The sequence below is a fragment of the Homo sapiens genome, chromosome 18, assembly GCF_000001405.40.
Source record: "Homo sapiens chromosome 18, GRCh38.p14 Primary Assembly".
Classification (NCBI taxonomy): Eukaryota; Metazoa; Chordata; class Mammalia; order Primates; family Hominidae; genus Homo; species Homo sapiens.
In genome coordinates, this window is record NC_000018.10 from 7,740,156 (window position 1) to 7,761,512 (window position 21,357).

Below are 21,357 nucleotides of genomic sequence, written 5' to 3' on the forward strand. Positions count from 1 at the left end.
GGCATTGGTTGGTCCTGCCAACCCCACCCTACCCCTCAGCTCCAAGCTTGAAGCAGGCCTGTGACCCTCCTGAATTGTAGTAGGTTCTATTGCAGAAGAATCAGTATAGAGTAGTGGGATTGACCTAAAAGGAGGAAACTGAAGCAAAATTAACATAAGTAAAGAGTTTATTGGGGCCAAGTTTGAGGATTGCAACCTGGGGGCATAAATGCAAGTTGCCCCGAATATACACTCTGTATAGCAGCAGTTACAAGTGGATTTATTTCATTTTATTTTATTTTTAGAGATGGGATCTCGCTCTGTCACAGGCTGGATTGCAACGGTCTGATTATAGGTCACTGCAGCCTGAAACTCCTGGGCTGAAATGATCCTCCTGCTTCAGCCTCTCCAGTAGCTGGGACTCCAAGCATGTGCCGCCGCTCCTGGCTAATTTTTAAAAATTTATGTAGAGATAGAATCTTGCTATATTGCCCAGGCCAGTCTCAAACTCCTGGCCTCAAGTGATCCTCCTGTCTTGGCCTCCCAAAATGTTGGAATTACAGTTGTGAGCTGTGGAGCCAGGCCACAGTGGATTTTTAAAGGCAGAAAAAGGAGACAGAGTGGGCAGATGCAAAGTTGTTTGTCAGGAATTCTCATTGGTTTACAGAAATAACATTGATTAGTGATATGGCTATACATGGTTAAGCTATACGGTATGGGTTATAGTGTCCAGTGTGGCATTATTAGATTAATTTATAGCTACTTTTGGCAACAGGAAGCTGCTTTGAGAGACGAATACATAGCTGAAGCAGGGAGTAGGGCATGATTGAGTTCTCATTTTAATGCTTCTCTGGGCCTCACAGTTTGTAAGGGCTCACATTCCTCAGATGAAAGTGCTTTCTTTCCCCCGTGGTGTGTGTGTAGTGTAAATTCTTGGAGCTTAGCTGCTTGGCTCTGTGTACTGGAGCAAGTACTAAGTTTTCTGAGCCTACATTTTTATAATGGGTAAACAGTCATAATGTGTATAAATAACTCTTTATTCTGAGTTCAAAATGAGAAACCTTCTGAAAAATTTTTAGCATAGTGGTGGCCATACAGTAGGTGTTCCGTGAACATGTTCTTTCATGTGTTGTGCACAGGTGGGCATTGCTCCTGAGAATGCAAGGTGGTAGGCGGCCACCTGGGTCTGTAGCCGGAAGGTGACATGCGTTTTCATTGAGGCCAGAGGAGAGTGGCCTTCTACTCTGAAACATTTGTCTTTTCGGCTGAGCAATGGCCCAAATGACTTGCAGTTTAATCCACAGACAGGATCATTTTTAAAACATGGGCATCAAGGAATTTATCTTCCCAAGCCTGGTTTTTCTTGATGATTTCTAATGAAACTTTGTATTTGTTGGTCACTGATATTTTCAGTTAACGAAAACACATCGGTATTGGACTTTGTTTTTTTTATGGCTTCTGTGAAGCACTGAAGGCTGTCATTTTTGACAAAACTATTGTAACTCTTAATAAGTTGTCTAAGCTTTAAGGCTGGGCAAATAAATCTTAAGGAATTTTCATCTTGGTAAGGTGCCTGTCCCTCTGATGAGATTAGCTTCATATTTCAGGGTGTTCTGTTCTGGAGGAAACCAAGAATTTCTTCAGTATAAGTGAAACCTTAGCACTGGCTTCACCTCAGCAGATGCAGGGGAAATCAGCCTCTTTGTCCTGTAATTGCTTTCATCAAATTGAAGATCCCATGGGAGGAAGTTTTCCTGCAGGGAAATTCCTGTTTATGGGAATGGCTGTGCATCCATTTGTCAAGAGCTATTGTTATTCTGATGTGACACCTTCCATTCCTCCCAGTCCTGTAAAAAATATGACATCTATTAGAACCTAATTACTTATGCCATTAACATGTTGTTCCCCACTGAAATTTCCTGGAGTTTGAAGGAAGACAAGATGTGGGTGTATGATAGATATATTTAGATATTTAAACATTGGAATTACGTGGGAAAAGGTGGTATATGGTAGCACAGTGTAAGAAATTCTATGTAGAATTTTTATCTTCCTATTTTTAAGGCATTATATACAGTTAAAGTCAAATTATTTTAAGTTACAGTGACTAAAAAATATGTTGACAGTTTCTAATAACTTTAAAAAGTAGTCCAACACAGAATTTTGGATGAATGGATGCCAAAAAATGGGCTTTCAGTTCATTTTCTTTTATGGTGACTAGGCTCCTGGGATTTTCTTCGATCTGATTGTGCAAAATAGTTGATGCACTGGATTTTTCCTATCCATTCACAAGTATCCTCCCACCCATTCCTCCAGTCATTCAGCCAGCCATCTGGTAATCATTTTTATTTATAGTGCCAGGAAATTGGGTGGATAAAAAGATGTATATTTCAGAAGTGCAGTTTTATCTTTTTAAGGAACTCCTATCTGGGCACAGTGGTTCACTCTTGTAATCCCAGCGCTTTGGCAGGCTGAGGTGGGAGGATCACTTGAGCTCAGGAATTCGAGACCAGCTTGGACAACATGGAAGAGACCCCAGTCTCTACAAAAAGTGAAAAATAAATAAGTATATAACTCCTTTGGTTTGAAGGAGATTCTGTAATTCTGCATAGCAGATCAGAGTTCTGGCTCTGAACACAGACTCCAGAGCGTACTTGAATCCTACCAGCCAGAAGTATGAGAAATAGCCAAAGACAGCTTGTGGTAAGCCTCAATTTAGAAAATTGTCAATCATTTCTCTTGAAAGTAAAAATTTAATTTAAAAATTGGAAATTAAATTGGATTGATTTGCATAGATTATTTACCCATTAGTTAGGTGCTACATGTGCTTTATCTGATTTAATTTTCATAACAATGCTGTGAAAGAAGCAATCATATTCCTGTCTGACGGATGAGAAAGAGGGGCCAAACATGCATGGCTGCCACCTAACCATTAAAGGAGTCTGGTCTTGGGCTGAATCCATTAAAGTCCCATGCTTAAGCTTTAAGTTGTTCTCAATAGAAAGGAAAAAGTCCAGTCATCCAGTTCTACCACTTGCTACTGCCTGTATGGCCGCTGATTGTCACTTAGCTTTTCTTTGCCTAATTTTTATCAGCTACCACAATGGGAATTAATGCCTTTCTTATCAAATTTAATACACTGTTGTGAGGATGTCGTGGAATAATGTGTGTGAAAATGCTTGCTACAGTGTATCATGTTACATACATGAAAGTTAATATTCTTATACTTATTCCACTGCATTTTTAAATGGAGTCTTTCACAACAGTCTGAGAAATTCTTCTATTCTAGCTAATGTCAGTGAGTTGTCAATTTGTTCCTAAGTGTTTATTGGGCAATTATTGTGAAATACTGAAGTGGTGGAAGTAGAGACAATTACATGACAAATTTTGAATAATATGATATTAAAATAAAAAGAGAAAGAGCTGCTAAAACCTGGTATTTTAATAAATTAGACATATGGAACTCCTGCTTTATTTAAGAAGTAGACATAGGGCTTTATTAGTGCAGGATTAAGCATGTAGTTGGCTAATGTCAGTGAATTTTTCTTGAATATTCGGGACATAAAACAGAAAAGGAGTTTATACGTAGTGTAATTATTTCTTACATATGTTTTGGTCAGTAAGCCGGTTTATAGAGAAACCTATGCTTGTTCCTTAAACTGTAGATTAAGAATATAGGAGTTATTAAAATTAATAATACTTTTGTTTACATAAAAGTAGGACTGCATTATTTAGTAGCTGTTATTCAGAGCTTAGTGTGCTCTTTTCTAAGAGGCTTCATGAGTATCCCGAAATAACTGCAAAATTCATCAAATGGAAATGATTACCATGAAATCAGGCTTCTGACTTAGATTTTTCCACAATTAGTGGGAAAGCATCACACGTGGATTTATGTTATTTGGACAGACTGGGGAAAGCCTAAACCAGACTATACATTTTCAAGAATTACTCAGTAGAGCTTCTTAGAGAGGTCTAGTGAAAACTAAGTAAAATCAGGTTTGAAAAAATTAGACCACATATCTCTACAGATTTGAGGCTCAAAAAGGCCACGGTGTGAAGAAAACTGGATTCTGTTACAAAAGAATGATTAGTGTGTTTGTTTTCCTGCAAGTCATAAAGGCAAGCTAGTTTCTCAGAATGAATATTGAGTGCTGAGGTTTTTGTCCTAGGGCCTTGAAAGGTGGTGGAATCTAGGAAACTGAAATGGCAGGTGGAAAAAAAGGTTCAATTATTCTGTAAAGAGGCATGTCTTCATGAAGAATAGAGTGGGAGTAAGGTAGAGTAATTATCAACTATATTTGAGAAGGTCTTATATAAAAGTAAAATACTGCAACCTACCCAGCACTCTCAGTGCATTTTATGAGGTTCTGTTTTTCCTCTCATAGAATTTAAGATCTATATGATTGGCTTATTATGTTTATTGTTTAGGTTGTCTCACTTATTAAAATATATTCCTAGTGCCTAGACTAGTACCTGGCACATGGTAGGTAATAAATACATATGTATTGAGTGAATAAATGAACCAGAGGCTAGGTTCTTTGTGGCCCTTGGTCTATTTGTCTGAAAAATGAGAACTGTATTGGACACCCCCAATATTTTTCCCAGAGCCACTATGAGGATAATTGTGTTCATCGACTTTTATCTTATTTTTGACTGAGCTGGGGCTGTATTGTTTGCAGTTCAAATATATTTTCTCATAAGAAAAAAACAAAAGCTAAGTGTATTTAAATTCTTAACTCTAGTTGAGAGACCATCCAGGGGATCAGAGTCTGAAGTCAGAATACTAGCCCTGAACCCCAGCATGCCATTTTCTGAGTCTTTCTATCACTTATGTTATAGAAAGGATGAAATCAAAGGAATAATAATAGTGGTCAAGAAAATCACCTCTAACTTTTATTGAACTGGGTTCAAATCCTTAGCCTTTTGTTAGCTGATGACCTTGGGTAAGTTACCCAAATTCTCTAAACATTCCATCTTCTCTGCTGTATAATTTTAATAAGTGGTACTTCTTAGAGTTGTTGCAAGGGTTAAATAAGATAATGGAAATAAGAGTGTATCAGTTCATCAGTCAATGGCAATACGTCTAACCCTTTAAGCCAACCCTTTTGCTAAGAACAATCAGAAAACAGGACCATATATCTGGCCAGCTATTTGAAGTCATGAGAGGACTTCTAAAGAGGAGTTCCATGATCCAGAAGGTCCAGTGCAGTGATTCCTGCATTTGGGGCCACTTTTTTCCTCAAGACTGAGTGTCTCAGCCTCTCAGCCTGAACTTTGGTGTAACTTGACAGTAGACATCAAAGAGCAGAGCTCTCAGAAGACTCACAGGCTCTGGGAGAGGCAACTAAATTGAAGTTTAGGGCCTGCCAAGGAAGAGGTAAATACCTCAGGCTTTTGGATCCCAAAGGCCACATCTTAGGTGTTAGGGTGAATAGGAAGTAGACCAGCTTGACTCATCACAATTACTGATTAGATCAATGTGGGATGGATTGCCAGTGCCCCTAGCATATGTACTTGGCAGAAGACAATCACCATTAGCCAGGCATAGAAGAGATGGTAAATCAGTGACCAGAAACCAAGAGAAAATACAGATAATAGAAACAGATATAAGGGCATCTAGAAAAAGGAATTGAGAGACATTTGCTTTAAAGTAACCATGATTAATATGGTAAAGGAATTGAAGACAAGGCTGAGAATTTTGATATCAGTTACTGGAAATTATAAGATTGTAAAATAGCTAAAATTTTAAAATGATTTAAACCGAGGATTAGGCACATATGAAAAGTAGTGAAAATACAGAATAAAATATCCAAACTGAGTCAAAGAGAGACAAAGATGGAAAATACAGAAACAAACCTATGAGACAAATGGACATGGTGAATATAACCTAATATGGAAATGGAGTCCCAGAAAAAGAGGAGAGAATAGGGGGATAAAGGCAATGTCTGAAGAGATGATCCTTGAAAATTTCCAAAATTGATAAAAGACATTAAGCAGAAATTTGGGAAAATTACAAATGTTTACAAGACAAACACAAAGAACACTATATTTAGGCACATCATCATCAAATAGCTGAAAACCAAAGACAAAGAGAAAATGCTAGAACAGCCAGAAAAAAAAGACATGTAATCTTCAAAGAAGCAACAATAAGATTTTCAGTTGATTTCTCAACAGAAACAATGGAATCCAGAAGACAATGACATGATCTTTTTGAAGTCCTGGGAGAATTCTGCCAATGTAGAATTCTATATCTAATGACGATATCCTTCAAAAACATGAATATAATTCAGATATTTTCAGATATGTAAATTTTTGTCAACCTAGTAAATTCTTTTTTTTTTCTTTTTTTCTTGAGAAGAAGTCTCGCTCTGTCGCCCAAGCCGGAGTGTAGTGGTGCGATCTTGGCTCACTGCAACCTCTGCCTCCCAGGTTCAAGCAATTCTCCTGCCTCAGCCTCCCAAGTAGCTGGGACTACAAGCGTGCAACACCATGCCTGGCTAATTTTTGTATTTTTAGTAGAGATAGGGTTTCACTATGTTGGCCAGGCTGGTCTTGAACTCCTAGTCTCATGTGATCTTCCTGCCTTGACCTCCTAAAGTGCTGGGATTACAGGTGTGAGCCACTGCACCTGGCCCCATCATAGTCTTGACAGTAGGACAGTAAGACGCTTCCTTTCCACATTTCTTTTTACCAGCCACGTGGTGGCTGGATGGCGATTGGTTCTGTGGCCAGCTTGCTCTCTGAAGGGTGGATGGAGGAAGGTGACCCAGCTTCAAGTGTACGTGTACCTTCCAGGGAGAGGGCAGAGGTAAAGCAGGTCTCTGCTACTCCAGGGTTTCTCCCGGTGTGAACTCCCAGGGCTGTTTCTCACTCTCAGTGAAAGCTTTTTCCTCCTTTTCCCAGGGTGTTTCCCTTCTGCTTTCTGTTGTTTGTGGCCATGATTTTTGGTCATCTTTGGAATCTCAGTCTCAAAGCTTTTCTCTGGCTTTTTTGATCCTAGAACAAGCATAGGATCTTTTTAAGTTTCACTTTTGTTTTTTAAATGTAACAGTATGGGACATGTAAGGAGTCAGAACACCACTCCCAGACATACGCATTACTGCAAAGCATGGCAGTGTCCAGGATACTGAAGTAGGAATCAGGTGCACTCTAGAGATGCACCACATGGCTTGTTTGTCTGTCCACACTGGAACAGAGAGATGAAGAGGCAGAAAAGGAGAGGGAGCCTCCATGAGCTCCTGTTTCATATGCCAGCCATCCTAGGTGGTGGTGTATTAGTGTGCTAGGGTGGCCGGAAGACTGGGCGGGTTCCACAGCAGAAATTGATTGTCTCACAGTTCGGGAGACTAGAAGTCCAAGATCAAGGTATTGGCAGACTTGGTTCCTTTGGAGGGCTGTGAGGGAGAATCTGTTTCATGCCTCTGTCCTGGCTCCTGGTGGTTTTCTGGCTCTCTTTTCTGTTCCTTGGCTTTGTAGGTGCATCACTCCTGCCTCTGCCTTTTTACTCATATGGCATTCTTGTTCTCCCTGTGTGTGAATCTTTGTGTCTAAACTCCACCTTGTATTAGAATACAAGTTACTTTGGATTAAGGGTCCACCCTACTTGATTATGTCCTCATCTCAACGAATTATGTCTGCAATGACCCTATTTTTAAATAAGACCTGATTCTGAGGTCCCGAGGGGTTAGGAGTACAACATAAGAATCTGGGGGGATGAAATGAGGACAGAATTTGACCCATAACATTTGGCATTTCAAGGGGACCATTTTTATATAAGGAATGTATGAAAAGTTTAAAAGCCTGTATTTGAGGATTATCTCTGTGGAGGTGACACCTTTGAGATTTCAGGAAAATGTTTGAGAGGCTGCACTACCCTCTTCCCCAACATACTGCCTTCTTCTACAGGAAGGGATTGTATGATTTTATTTGGGTACGTGGCCCCCCACCACAAGGACTATATTTCCTAGTCCCTCTTGCAGTAGGTGTGGCCAGGTGTGGGCTGTAGACCAGAACTGTCCAGGAGAACTTTCTGTGATGATGGAATTGTCTGGTACAGTAGCCACTAGTCATACAAGGCTACTGAACACTTGAAATGTGGCTAGAGTCTTTAAGGAAAGAATGTTTAATTTTAGTTAGCTTTAGTCACTTTGAGTTTAAAGAGTTACATGTGGCTAGTAGCCCTGTGTTGAACGGTACAGCTGTAGACAGTGGGGTAAATGTGGAAGTGCTTGCACAGCACCTGCCAAGCTCCTTGTGAGGAGGGAGTGCCCCCTTCTTCCTCCCCTTCCTCTGTCCTTCTGCGTGGGATGTGGATGTGCTGGCTGGAGCCCCCTCCTGACAGTGACGATGAGGACTGTACCACAGGTACTGTGGAACTGTGGGTGGAAGGGTTGGGGTTCTTTAAGGACACTGTGGAGCAGAGCTGCCAAATCAGCTCCGGGCTACTTACACACATGAAATATATTTTGGTGAGAAATATTCTGATACCTTATTTAACCCACTGACATTTGAGTTTTCCTGCCCTCTTTGTCTAATTGGATCATAGTTAATATAGGAGGCAAAAGCCAAGTATAAATCCCAGCATCATTAGTGATGATGATAGAAATCTTTTATCTCCCCCCAAATCCTCCTTGCCACTTTTAAACAATCTGAAAAACAGGAAGCAGAGTTGTTGACTTAGGAACCCACAGCCTTCCATTCCCATTATTGGAGGAAGCCCTTAAGGAACTCCCCCACCCCAGTGGGATTAACCACCAATGTTGACTACATGTCCTGAAAACTTTTCTTCTGTAAAAAGTTTAGACCAATTTGTCCATGTTAAACTCTAGTATAATTTCAGAATTCCTCCATTGATATTTCTTGATTACAATTTAAATGGTCTGTTTCTCATGATGAGACAACTGCATTTGAGGAGCAGTTTCACTTACCTGTGACATGTTCTTAAGTCTTCGAGCTGCTCTCATGCTTGCCTTTGGAGTTACTTGCCCAGAAAAACACCCTGAATAGTCTCATGAAGAACCAAGGGGCACTGCAGGAACAGGCCTGGGAGGTAGCCCACTCAGTCACTGCTGAAAGGGAATGGAGGAGGGGACAGAGTTGTTCTTCTCACCCAACTGCATTTCGGCACCCTTTTAGCTGGCAGAATTACCACCCACTATTTTTGCTGGCAGCACTACTGCAAGTTGTGAGTTAAAAAAAAAAACAACAAAAAAAACTCACATTTTTTTTTGGTCAAGCTGTTTTGACAGGGGTTTTGTCTTTAAATAGTAATCACTCATTAATTGCCTTTCTCCCTGCAATCCAGAACCTTCCTGGTTTCCTTGTATACTTTGGAATAGGCAGAGATGTGAGCCACTAACGTTTTTATTTTAAGTGAGATTATGGGTGTGTTTTTAAAAGTATTCCTTGGGGCCCTGTGGGAAGTGCATGTCCTGACCTCTGTAGGACTGGGGCCCTCTGGAAGGGTAATTAGAGTCTGGCCCCATTTGCTCCTGTCTGAGCCGATCAGTGTGAGGAGGTGGTGTATGGTTTGTGCTTATCAGGTCACAGGCATAAAGATGAGGCTTGCTGCTAGACTCACTCCAGTGATGGATGGATCTACTGCCTTGTGGTTTATAAAGTGTAGATATATATTCTCAATTCCATGTTAGGGATCTTGAAAAACCAAAAATCTTTGCAGAAATCTCTGGAGTTAAGCAATTGTGTTTTTAAGTGGAGTTATCTGCCTCCCAAGGCCAGACCTGTCTTCGCTTTGACAAGCATTTAAAAAATTCAGTTAAGCAAGTGGGATAAAAGCCTGTGTTTGCAAATGGCTTAAGAGGCCTGCTGTCTACCATTATAATGACACATAACGTTGGTTAACTTGGTTTTTTGACTCCCTAAGCAAAGGTCTTATTCATTTTTGGTTTTAAGATCTGGTATTCTACTTGATAAGGGTTTCCATAAAAATCCACAAATACATAATATCTAGGTTTTGCTAGGAAAATAGGAATTACAGGATAGTGTTGTGACTAAAGGATATTTTTCTCTGTTATCGCTTTAATAACTATAAAAGGAAATACCATGGTTTAAGTTTAGTTTTGATAAGCTAAATTTAAGTTTATATCCTCTTTTCGCTTTTACATTCTGTTGTTTCATTTGTTTTAAAAAAAAGAACACTCAAGTGATTTCTAAGCCTCTTAGTAAAACAAGCTCGTTAAAGACTGTTTTATAACATCTTTCACATTCCTCTGAAGTACTTTGTAGAATTAACCCTTTACCCTAACTTTGGAAACCACCTGTGTGCTCACTGGCTATGCCTGGTCTAGTTTTCTTTTTGTTCTGGTGAATATTGTGCAGCTGCGGATAGAATAACATTCCTCGTATCAGTCTTTACTCAGCTGTTCAGAATGACTTTTTACTGGCTATTAGAGCCAATAGAAGTTTTCTGTTTTATATTTAAGACCCTCCAACGCTCCAAAATCTGACATTCTTACCTCTCTCATGCCATGCCCCTACCTTATCCTCCCCACCTGTTGGTCACTTTCAGCACAGGTTCTTTTCCCCACAAATCTGGAAAAAATACGTGCTATCTCATGACCACAGGTTACTTCATTTGGCTTCTTTGCTTTCGTATGAGTACACACCCACCTAGAATTGCCTCCTTCACAGCCTCTGTCTCCAACAAAACTGAACTCCCAATGCGGCTATGCATTTCAACATCCAGAGTTGAGCATCAAAGGCCAAAAATGATCAAATGGAAGCAAGTCCCCCTTGGGGTAGGAACAAGGATGCTGCCTGTGGCAGAACAGAGCTCTCTATGCACCAAATGGCTCCAGGTGAACCCCCCCCCTCCATTCCACATAGCCCCCCTCCCCGCAGAAGGACAGACACTGTGCTTTTCACTTACCCCAGTGAGATGCACACATATTTGCTTTCTGTATGTGCCATGGTAATGAGGAAGGCTGGGAAGCACTGACTGGGAAGCATCAGCCTCGAAGATAAGCCCTTGCCTAATGTTCAAGGTCAATGTCACTTTGTTCCCAGCTTACCTTTCTGCCCTGATCTGCTGACCCCAGGAATGCCTGTGCTTCTTGGCTCAGACTACTTCTGCCACAACTTTGAGGTGAAACTGACATTTCTGCCTGTCTGCCGGATGTGTCTCCAGTCGCTTTCCACTGGACCCTCCCCTGACTCACTGTGCTGTTGTAAATAGCCTAAAATGTTAGAATCTCATTCAACGTTTTTGTATCCCTCCACCCACATATTTAACTTGCTTGGATCTTCAATTCCCATTGATACTCCTCTTAATACATTGCCACTGCCATAATCTGCCTTTATTGACCATGCCATTCCAGGTAAGTGATTTCATGTCCTGGGGTCTTGAGTCTCTCATCTGAAAACAAAGGGAGTCAGGAGTCATGTTCTTTACGTATTATTTGGAATTAGACCTGTGTCTGGAAAGTCAAGTTTTTCATGTCCAAGTTGTGTGATTTGGGGTAGAAAACATATTCCCTCCAAACCCCAGTTTCTTCATGTGTACAGTATATACAGTTCTTTACTGATGGTGTTGCTACATCCTGATAGAGAATTAAATGAGACCCATCTTTTCGGTGTGACCTGCACACTACCAGGCACCTAATATACATCTGGTATACACTAACTACTGCAAAAGCCTTCAACCTAGTCAGTTCACTCTCTAGGGCATGATTCTTCCTCTGTGAAAATTTTCCACATACCTTCCTCTCTAGCTAATAGAAAATGCTTTCTCAATTTTTGTCGTTTCTTTTACAGTTAGTAAATAATGACAAGTGTGTTGAGTGCTACCAATGTGAAGTGCAAGTTTGACGGGACATAGGGAGACCTTATTTGGTTAGGGTGGGCTGGGCTGCCACCCCAACCAAATTAGGTTGCCCATGCAGAGTTGTTGGCTGAATGACTTTTCTGCTGTCTGGCATTTACCAAGCGTAATGACACCTTTTTGATTTTTCTTTTTCCTCCTGTTTCCCCTCCAACTCACACATACAGAATTAATTAAATGTTTTTTGGTTTCAACTCTTTATCTCATCTTGTATGGATTAGCCAAATTTCCTGCCTAAGTTATTAAACCAAGTTGAATTCTGCTATATGTGTGTTTGTGTCTTCGGGATCTGATCATCTTTGAGGTATGATTCTGAATGTCATTTGAGCTTATTCTTTATGACATTCTAGAAAAGTATGTATGCTAGGCCTCGAATATATTCTTTTTTTAAAAAAATTTCTATAATTTCAAAAGGTAGGAAACATGACAGTAATGGTTAGTTTTAGATTTTATTTATTTTTATTTTTTAAGACGGAGTCTCTTGCTCTTGTCGCCCAGGCTGGAGTGCGATGGCGTGATCTCGGCTCACTGCAACCTCTGCTTTCCGGGTTCAAGTGATTCTCCTTCCTCAGCCTCCCGAGTAGCTGGGATTACAGGTGCATGCCACCATGCCTGGCTAATTTTTTTAATTTTTTTATTTTTTGTATTTTTTGTTAGAGATGGGGTTTCACCATGTTGTCCAGGCTGGTCTTGAACTCCTGACCTCAGGTGATCCGCCTACCTCGGCCTCCTAAGTGCTGGGATTACAGGCATGAGTCACCGTGCCTGGCCAATTTTAGATTTTATTAATGTTAGACATAGACTCGTGTGTCATAGAAAACAATACTCAGAGAAAACTACGTACCTAGATGTTTTTTGGCCTTTTAGTTAGGCACTTGGCAATGAATGTGTTTTCTAAGTTTATTAGTTACTTTGATAGATATTCCTGGTCTAAAATCTATTTCTTTTTATTTTTTGTAAGTATTCTTTCTGTCTAACCCCTCTTTAAAATAAAAAGTTATTTAGGAGTTTAATGATTTGGGGGGAGGGGCAGATTCTGGTAATGTGATGAACGAGATGGGGAGGAGCAGTCTTGCAAACCTTTGGTTTAGTAGAGAACCAAAACCAGTTTGGAAGGGGATACAGGTCTCTTTCTAGCCATATGTATTTGACTGAACATGTTTGTTTGGAAAAACTAGTAGTTTTGTAAATCATCCATTGAGAGCCAGCAAGTTATCTCTACATTTGTGAAAGAAAAAAATTGAGGTGGATATGGGTTTCCTTTTTCTATGTGTGTCCGTATTGTTTTGATTGTATAGAGGTAGATATTTTTCTTCATTTTGACTGAAAGTAAAGTCAGAATTATATGTATATCTATACATATATATGTATAGATATATTTATTTTCTACATTTTAAGAGGAAGCAGCGTGTTTTAAGAGTGAAAGAAAATAAGCTTTGAAAGCAGACACATCTTGATTTGAGTGCTAGTTACTATCATTAGCTTGCTTATATAATCTTGAGAAATCTTTTCTTTCTCGAAGCCTTAGTTTGCCCATCAGCTAAATGAGCACAGTACATCCTATATGGTAGGGTTGTTGAGTATGAGTGTTAAGTGAGGTAAGTTAAGTCAACACAACGTAGTAAGAGATCAGTAAGTATCAAATTCCATTCTCACTCACTATATGTAATATAAATAGGTTTAAATCAACAGAGTGAGTTTATCTGTAACTGCAGACTTTCTTTGCCATAACACCTTTAAAAAGTTTTAAATGCTTAAATTTACTGTTCTTTCAACTGCCAGTTTAGTGTTAGTTCATATCATTTTGTTTTGGCCGTATTTGCTAATGTTATTGGTGGAGTCATACCATTTTCTGTTGGCTTCATTTATAATTCTATTTTTTTTTTGGCTGTCTACACATTATTTCATTTTGGGACCTGCTACACTGTTGGATTTTTGGCTTTACTCACCTTTTCCCCCCTTCTCCACTTTTGACCCATCTCCTCCTATTTCATTTTGGCACCAGTAAAGTAATGGTTCATGTGTATGCTGGAAGCCTACCCCATACATCTCTATGGGTGCAGTATTCCTTTTTATTGTGTTTTATTTTTCAAAATGACAAGCTTATATTTCCAGTATGTGAAAATGCTTTAGAACTTCTTGTTGAATATAGATTAGTTGACATTTTAAGTCTTAGCCCATGTTGTATGGTTGTGTTTTGGTTTTCTATTTCTTCTTTACTCTTTTCATCATATACCTTGTAGTTTTTGTCATCAGTGAATGATTTTTGAGAATCCTAATGTGCACAGCATTCTGCTGGATCTTGTACTAAGCAGTTTAAAGAGACCCTGTGCAATTACCCGACATTTCCTGTGTGCTTCTTATAGGCAGAATTTCATAGAATACAAATTATCCTCTTCTAGGTACTTGAATCTAAAACAAATATGGACACACAGAGCAAGAAAATAGCTGAACAGTGAGTATGTGAAGAGTAAACCAACAGACACCAGGATTATTCACCATAGGCCAGCCTTCTAGCTCCCAAGATGTTCCCTCCCTGCCAGTCTTCATTGTCTCTCAGTATTGAGATGTCAGCCTCCTTTCCATATTACCTGGAATAATTGCCAAGCAGTCATGCCACTTGAAAATGAGGTAACAAGTCCTTTGATTGAACTGGCAGTCCCACTCCCTGTCATAGCATCCTTGTATCAGTGTTGTTTATTCATTTCATGGTCTGTTCTCTCAAGAAATAAGCATCAGGAGTGGACAGTGATGTTTGGGGGGATCCCAAGGCACATGGGAGGCAGATCTTACCTCTTTCTGAGGAGGCCACAGAGAGCTGGATAGTCCCTCTGTCTGCTCCCTGGTAGCTGGAATGTGGATCTGTGACTCCATGCAGCCAACTGGAAGCTTAATGCAGGGAATGTGAACTTTGAACTAGTTAGAGATTATTCACTGTGAGGCTTTTGCAAAGGGCACAGGCTGGATGAGTGGCCGTGAGCGTCCGTGTTCCTGAGCAGACTGTGCTGTGGCCCAATCCTGTGCGTGTCTCCTCTTCAGGCTCCTGCCGGAGCATGCTTCTCTAATCTTACCATTTATCACTGACCCTTCGGTGAAACTCTCTTCTGTTTAAATTTACCAGGGTACACTTTGTAATACTTGGGACCAAGAATTTGAAGATAGTAATCAGACAAATCAAACAACTAGTAGTAGTGGAGAGACACGTAGCCCTACAGGAAGGGGTAGAATTATCATTAAAAACACAGACAAACCAGAGACTGCCTGAAAAAAAAAAAAAGATGAACTGGAAAGATTCAAAGTAGGCTCTATTGGAGGTGAGTATGGAAAACAAGCTTAGCTTTTTATTTTGAAGTTTCCTTCCAGGAGTTGGATACTGTGATCTCTTCAATCAGCATGTTTATATAGTGAGGAGGAAGACCAGAAATGAGAAGAGGAATAAGAAAATGGCAGCACAGCCTTTTGGGGTATGGATAAGGGTGGTCTTCCTGCTACAGCAGAGGAGAGGGGCATGTGTGGCCCATGTGGAAGAGCAACTGAGTTGGTGGCTGACTGAATTTGGGTCCGAAGCAAAAATAGGATATGAGGATAGGTATAAGAATTTTATTTTGTGCTATGTGTGTCATTTGGCTTTTAAACTGTCTAGAAATAAAATGAGATGAAAACAATCTGCCCTCATTTCTTGGTTGCTTTTCTTAAATATCATTGGCCCAAAGCATAGCCAAGCCTTTTATTTAGAAAATCCTACCTTCAAAAAGTGATAGGTTACACTAATTATATTTGTGCTGTTCTACAGATTTTCTATTTTGCACTGGTCCTTTACCTGCTGCTCGCTGTGCGGGCAGCTAAGGTGAGAGTTTGAAGACTATGGACTTTTAAGCTGAGAGGCTGCTGTGGTCATACAGTTTTCAACACAAAACTTGTTCTCCCTCTAGTGTTCCACTTGCACAGGGGTAAGTTGCACAACTTTGTTCCATTTTGAATTCTTTGCAAGATTTGTCTTCATTTCCTCTGTTGTATCAGATTCCTATATTTCCTTGTACTGTTTGGCCAAACTCCATTGTTTTCATCTTACTGAGTGGAACAGTAGATACTGTTCCAGCTTTGATATTAATTTCCTCTCTAGTACAGCAATTCCGAGTCTGGAGTACATTAGCATTTCAATTTTGAAGAGAGATTTTGATCTCTGAGCACCCTTGCCTTGTGTCTGTTTTCTTGATGGTTCCTTGTGGTTGCTTTCAGTGTTAGGTTAGGTTTCTCCAGTTAGGTTTCTGATGCAGATTGAAAAGCAAACAAGCAGTTAATTCTGTGCATCCCTCATTCTTCTGTAAACATGCCTAGTGCAGTGTATTGCCTCTCCAAGTGCTCTTGCTTAATTAACATGCTTTAGTTTGTAAAGGATTGATTTGTTTGGCAGAATTATCCATAGTTGATTCTGGGAGCAAATTTTCTCGGATATCAATTTGAGGAAATAAATCTCACTTCTCCATGCCTTTTGTTAATTAATTTGTTTCTGTTACCATCAAATCTTTACTTAATAAGTCTGTAAAGGATCTCCAGTGGTGTTGAGATGTCAGTGCTGTTTGGCTATAAAATTCAAGGATGACATCTAATGTGTGCCTTTTAGTAGAGATGCAATTTACTTATGTAGTAGATTTGTGAGGAGCATCCATGGAATAGTCATCCCACTATGATTGTATATAACAATTGTATGTACAATATACAATATATATATACAATAAGGAAAATGTGCCTCTTAGGGGTTGGGAAACCAGTGGTCAAATTCCACCTCTGGCATCATCTGCTCTGGGACTGCAGGCAAGCCACATCATTCGGATGGCTTCCCTTGTGTTGTAAAGGGGGGACAACGTTTTTGCCCTCCTTTTTTGCCAGGCTGCTGTGCATGGCCCTGTGGAATCATCAATGTGGCAGTGTAATAGTCTCCTTCCTGCCCAGTGTGGACCCCAGCTTGGCCTGTGCTGCTCCCATCCACCTTTGTAGCCTGATCTTCAGCCATGTTTTAAATATTCTTTGCGCTGCAGCAAACTTTTATTCCACACACACACCATGGCCTTCTCATAACGGGCCACCTGTCCTCTGTTAAGGCTCTTTTGGAATGCTCTGTATGTGCCTCTCAGAACTTCTCCCAGCTTCCCAGCTACACCTTAAATGCCTTCTCCCCTGTGAATTCTTCCTTGTTCTTCCTAATCTGAAGTAGGCCTTTTAGTAATCTCTGATACCATGTCATCTTCTGGTCACAATGTTGAATTATAGTAGGTCACACATGTGTTCTGTATTCCTGACTAAATTAAACTCAAGGGTCAGGATTCTGTGTTGGGCATCTCTTACTGTGCTAAGAGTGCCCTCGGATGAATCAGGAGTTTTTGGATGTTGACTGGATTGCTTTTGATGAATCAGCCTTAGTTTTTCATATTTGCACAATACTTTTGAGTGTTCTCTAAGGTCAGCTTCACCTATGGAGAATGACATAATTCTGTGTTCCACTGTAGAAATGTAAGTTGGGTATCCTTCAGTCTTGCTACCATAGTCAAGGAGTGACCCCTGGGCAGCCAGCAGCAGGTGGGCGTTTCTGCAGTAAGCCTCTGGGGCTCATCTGTTCTTGGGAAGCCAAGTAAAAACACACACACCATGTGGGGTGATAAGGGGCACAATCTCGTACGTAGGAGAATTGGGATGAAGTGAAAAATGAATAACCCAGGAATAGAGAAGGGTGCTAGTACATTCTGTGGCAGTGGGTCTTAATGGATGAGTGAGCAGGAGCTTATTGGGATGGTAGGTGAGAAGTGTCTCCAGGTAATGTCCAGAAGGGGGTCTGAGCTTAATGTGCATGGTTGCAGGCGAGTGGGTATGGGGTATCCCAAGCCCAGGGTGAAGAGTGGGTGGGGATGCAGGGGATGCTGGTGGTGATGCCCTTTAGTCATGGGGAGATAAAAGAGCTTGGGCTTCTCAGGGAAAATTAAGTGCATGCCATAGCAAAATGGCCATAACAGAGGTGCTTACCTGCCCATCAACCAGTGGCATAATCACGGGGGACACATCCTAAAATTCAGAGCCCCAACCTCACTCCCAACAATTCTGATTCCGTAAATCTAGAACGGGACTCAATATTCATGTGTTAGTAATTTATCCCAGTGATTCTGATGCAGGTGGCCAGTGAAGCACACTTTGAGTAAGTGTTGAATTACCTCTAAGAAAGGAATTATAAAATTTGCACAGATACGCATTTGTCCTAGGGAGGAGGATCCTGGGTAGCTCTGTTCAGATACTCAAAGGGATCCATAAGCTCTTCAAAGTTTCAGAACCACTGAGCTAAGACAAAAGCTTGTAATCCAGAATGAGAATAGCAGCACCATTGCAGGAATATTGGAGATCAGTAACCTTTAAAGAAACATTTTGTGTGATAGAAATTGTTGGTGTTTTCAGGAGCCCTACTGGAAACACATTAGGGAAGTGAAGGCTTACCACCCAATTTGTAAATCAGGATTTAGGTTTGTGTTAATATCTCAGTGTTTAAAGGACATACAGTGTTTAGTGGCTCTAGCAATTAACAATTTGTCTGTAATAGGATTTTTTTGGAAACACTTCAAGTCCACATCTTTCTCTGACCTAATTAAACCTTCTGGTTTCCCCTGGGTTTTACTTTTTAATTCTGAAGTTAGAAATATATTAAAGTTCAGTAGAATGAAGGTCTTTATTACTAATTATCAGTAAAGATATCACATTTTGCTCTCCTGTGGTTAAGGTCTTATCTGTATTTCTGTGATAAACATCTCTCTGAAGTTTATAGAGCATATGGAGAAAAATGAGATTGATACAACTTGGTTTTTACTCACTCCCAACCCCAGAATTTTTGAATCAGTGAAGTGTACTGCTGAAAAGTGATGTACACGCCCTCATTTCTCCCCTGAACCCAGGGTAAAATGAACATACTGTTTATACTGGCAAATTCAGTACAGCAAATGGGATGAAGTAACTGTCGGAGGGAGTCTGTGATCAGGGATGTGTTTCCTGGTGATGGCTGAGACAGAGCTATCAGCTGGTAACTGTAGCTTGTCCTTCAGCAAGGGGTTGCAGCTACTAAGCACACATTTGATCATTGGTTTAAACCTTACAGAAATTGAGCTGGTCTGTGAAGCCTCCTCTAGGCAAATTTCTAGCTCCATGAAGGGTTACTATTTCTTAAGTCCAGTCAATATTCCATCGATGCACAAGTGTTTATTCTCTATTCACAACACACACAGTACTAGGTATTGTTAAAGGTAAGTGTCCAATATGGCCAAGGGCCAACAATAAGGGTATTTAAAGAATATCTCAAAGAGAGATCCAAGCCACAGATAATCAAATATAAAATTACCCACTCAGACTATTAAAACCAAATATATGGTGACACTTTGTTTAACTTATCCCAGCAACCACAAGTTCTTACAAGTCAGCCATATGAAAAATAAAAAAGCTTCCTGAGAAACAGAACTCCCTACTCTCTTGGTATATTAAACATATCCCAATGAATAGTTTCTGGACGCAGATAAGGCTCATCCCAGGCATATTATGAAGTCATTGAATTTGATACTGTCTTCTTTTTTTAAACTTATTTTCCACCCACTTTTCATATGTCTAATATTCTTATGTAATCTGCATCAAAATAAGAAATATCTAATATCTAGTTATCCTTACTTGTGGATTGTTTATGTGGCCCTGTGCACAATAGGTCTAAATAAATATTTTTTTGGAGTAGCTGTGGTTAGAGGACTGGCTATGTGAAGCCATTTTCATATTATGTTCTTTTGAGTTTTAAATTTCAAGCCTCTTTGTTACAGATGGAAAAATGTAGACTTACTCAAATAATTGTAGACGTTAGTAAGCAGAGGCTGAGAAGAGGTTTGGGTTAAGGAGAGTTGTACGGAAACTATAATATTAGGTGTTCTTCAGTGATCTTTTCAGCAAATATGATGTCATTTTGGATTGACTGGGATAGGAACAGTCACCTAAAATGGGTCCCAGCCCATGTAGGATTGACAATCCTAGATGCCTTGTCCTGTAACCTCAAGTTTCTTACTTTTTCACAATAGATAGGGAGTCTGGCCAGCTCTAGCACTGATCTTCATATCAGTAGGGTTTCTTCTGCCTTCTCTTCTGCTGCCGCTTCTCTTTTTGCTTTAGCATTGAGCTTAGCCATCCTTCTTGCTTGTATATTTAACATTATTTTATTTAGTTTTTCTATTATAGCCACTTTCCCCAACAGTCCACCTGATCTAACCTTAATTATGTTGCTGATAAAGAATTATTGTCTTTAAGGGAAGCAAAGAAAAAAATAATAGCATGTGCAATCTTAGAGTGGGAATATTACCTTAGAGATAATCTAGGCCTGGAAGAGTCTAGTATTGTTAAATATTAATTTTTTTTGTGGCCTAGTCTTTCTGTTGCCCACAGTACACCAACTTTTAAGTAAATGAAAGTTGAATATATCTGGTTGAAGCAGGGTTTTAGAAGGGCCTGCGCTGGGTTCGCCCTCGTGGGCTGAGAGAGCCTGAGGATTCTGAGGATCACAGGGTGAAAAACTCAGTGATCCAAGTCATCATGCTTTTTTTTATAGACAGGACTGAGACCCAGAAAGGAAAGGAAACCCACAGTTAACTATTTACTAGGTAGCTAGATAGGTAAGTGCGTCCCAGGTAGCTAGATAGGTAAGTAGGTCGATAGATACATAGCATAATGTATGTGTTTATAGAAACACACACATATATGCAGAATCACTTAATTCTTATAACATTCTAGAAGGTAGATGGTTTTATAGATGAATAGATGAGGAAAGCTTGTAAGTTGATAGGGTTGGACTCACCTATGCTCCTTCTGGTGGCAAATCTACATTCTTTCCACCCTAGCTCCATTCTGCTGCTTGGTTGCCTTGTCCAAAGCCACACACAGGCAAGGACAGGACTGAAACCCAGACCATCTGCCTCTTGGTCCAGGGTTGTTCTCTCAGCAGATCTGTTCTCTTCAGTCAGTGGTAAAATAATACATGCTAAAAAGTAAATGGAATATTGAGTAAACACTCAGTTAGAAAAAGAGAGAAAGACGTCCCAGCTGTGTTGACCTTGAGAAGGGTTAATGTTTTTAGTTCCCTATATTTTAGCAACTAATTGGTCATGGAAAAGGATGGGAAGGAAAGCTGATTCATCACAGTTTTTTGTGCTAAGTATTGCTCAGAGCTTGGAGAATTGCATGGAATCTAGCTTCCTTATTTAAAAAATTAATAAGGAAAAATTTTTCATTAAAGCATGCTTTCTTTATGGCCTGAGTATTGAAACTTGAGATTGAATATGTATTAACTACTTGTATGTTTCATAAATTTGAAATACACATAATATGTAATTATTGACATTCTTCTCATGTTTGAAACAAAAGCGGCAGACACACTGACTGAGGAGCTGAACCAGAGTTCCAGTATGATGCACATAAAGTCCGTGTGCTTTTTGTTGACTTATGCTGAGGTCTGCCAGATAACAGCCTTATTACGCACATTC

General features: G+C 40.0%; 1 protein-coding gene and 1 long non-coding RNA gene across 27 annotated transcripts in view; one reads left to right on the top strand and one right to left on the bottom strand.

Annotated features, from left to right (window-relative positions):
* The window catches only part of PTPRM (protein tyrosine phosphatase receptor type M), an 839,541-nt gene that overhangs the window by 172,840 nt on the left and 645,344 nt on the right, over nt 1–21,357 (top strand). For 15 of the 26 annotated variants that reach the window (XM_017025894.2, XM_017025897.2, XM_017025895.2 and 12 more), the window contains exon 1: nt 8,179–8,340. The exons of the other annotated variants lie outside the window; for them this stretch is intronic. In XM_017025894.2, coding sequence (XP_016881383.2) covers nt 8,193–8,340 — 148 coding nt within the window. In that variant the 5' untranslated portion in view covers nt 8,179–8,192. Of the gene's footprint in view, nt 1–8,178; nt 8,341–21,357 lie in introns of those variants that run through there. 26 annotated transcript variants of the gene reach the window in all.
* On the bottom strand, nt 150–9,161 carry LOC124904242 (uncharacterized). The gene is made up of 2 exons (XR_007066277.1): nt 8,904–9,161; nt 150–1,826 (listed from the first exon to the last, which is right to left on the bottom strand). It is a non-coding gene; the product is annotated as an uncharacterized LOC124904242 (long non-coding RNA).